Source organism: Homo sapiens, chromosome X, assembly GCF_000001405.40.
Source record: "Homo sapiens chromosome X, GRCh38.p14 Primary Assembly".
Lineage (NCBI taxonomy): Eukaryota > Metazoa > Chordata > Mammalia > Primates > Hominidae > Homo > Homo sapiens.
Window position 1 is genome coordinate 113796226 of NC_000023.11, and position 1483 is coordinate 113797708.

General features: G+C 47.9%; 1 annotated feature.

Annotated features, from left to right (window-relative positions):
• Positions 605 to 1248: an enhancer, noted in NCBI's record as "H3K27ac-H3K4me1 hESC enhancer chrX:113040105-113040748 (GRCh37/hg19 assembly coordinates)". NCBI's record gives its function as "activates a minimal SCP1, AML or CMV promoter by ChIP-STARR-seq in naive H9 embryonic stem cells {active_cell/tissue: H9 hESC(naive)}" and the evidence as "EXISTENCE:reporter gene assay evidence [ECO:0000049][PMID:30033119]".

A 1483-nucleotide genomic window follows, 5' to 3' on the forward strand; every position in this document is an offset into this window, starting at 1 on the left:
CCTGCCCCAGAGATCTGTGGAACTTTGAACTTAAGAGCAATGATTTAGGGTATCTGGTGGAAGAAATTTCTAAGCAGCAAAGCATTCAAGAGGTGACTTGCGTGCTGTTAAAGGCATTCAGTTTAATAAGGGAAGCAAAGCATAAAACTTCGGAAAATTTGCAGCCTGACAATGTGATAGAAAGGAAGATCCCATTTTCTGAGGAGAAATTCAAGCTGGCTGCAGAAATTTGCATAACTAATGAGGAGCCAAATGTTAATCCCCAAGACAATGGGAAAAATGTGTCCAGGGCATGTCAGAGGTCTTCATGGCAGCCCCTCCCATCACAGGCCTGGGGGCCTAGGACAAAATGGTTTCCTGGGCCAGGCCCGGGGTCCCTGTGTTCTGTGCAGTCTAGGGACTTGGTGCCCTGCGTCCCAGCCACTCCAGCTGTGATTAAAAGGGGCCAAGGTACTGCTTGGACTGTTGCTTCAAAGGGTGGAAGCCACAGGCCTTGGCAGCGGCCACGTGGTGTTGCGTCTGTGGGTGCACAGAAGTCAAGAATTGAGGTTTGGGAACCTCCACCTAGATTTCATAATATGTATAGAAATGCCTGGATGCACAGGCAAAAGTTTGCTGCAGGGGTGGGGTCCTCATGGATAACCTCTGCTAGGGCAATGTGGAAGAGAAATGTTAGGTTGGAGCCCCCACACAGAGTCCATACTGGGGCACCGCCTAGTGGAGCTGTGAGAAGAGGGCCACCGTCTTCCACACCCCAGAAAGGTAGATCCACTGACAGATTGCACCATGCACCTGGAAAAGCTGAAGACACTCAATGCCAGCCCATGAAAGCAGCCAGGAAGGAGGCTGTACCCTGCAAAGCCACACAGTACAGCCTCAGCGTGACCTGGATGTGGGACATGGAGTCAAAGGAGATCATTGTGAAGCTTTAAGATTTGACCGCCCCACCAGATTTTGGACTTGCATGGGCCCTGTAGCCCTTTTGTTTTGGCCAATTTCTCCCATTTGGAATGATTGTATTTACCCAATGTCTGTATCCCCATTGTATCTAGGAAATAACTAGCTTGCTTTTGATTTTACAGGCTTATAGACAGAATGGACTTGCCTTGTCTCAGATGACACGTTGGACTGTGGAGTTTTGAGTTAATGCTGAAATGAGTTAAGACTTTGTGGAACTGTTTAGAAGGCATGATTGGTTTTGAAATGTGATGACATGAGATTTGGCAGGGGCCAGGATGGAATGATATGGTTTGGCTCGGTGACCCCACACAAATCTCAACTCGAATTGTACTCCCATAATTCCCACGTGTTGTGGGAGTGACCCAGTGGGAGATAATTGAATCAAGAGGGCAGTTTACCCCATACTGTTTTTGTGGTAGTGACTAAGTCTCACAAGATCTGATGGTTTTATCAGGGGTTTCCGCTTTTGCATCTTCTTCATTCTCACTTTGCCTGCTGCCATCCATGTAAGATGGGACTTGCT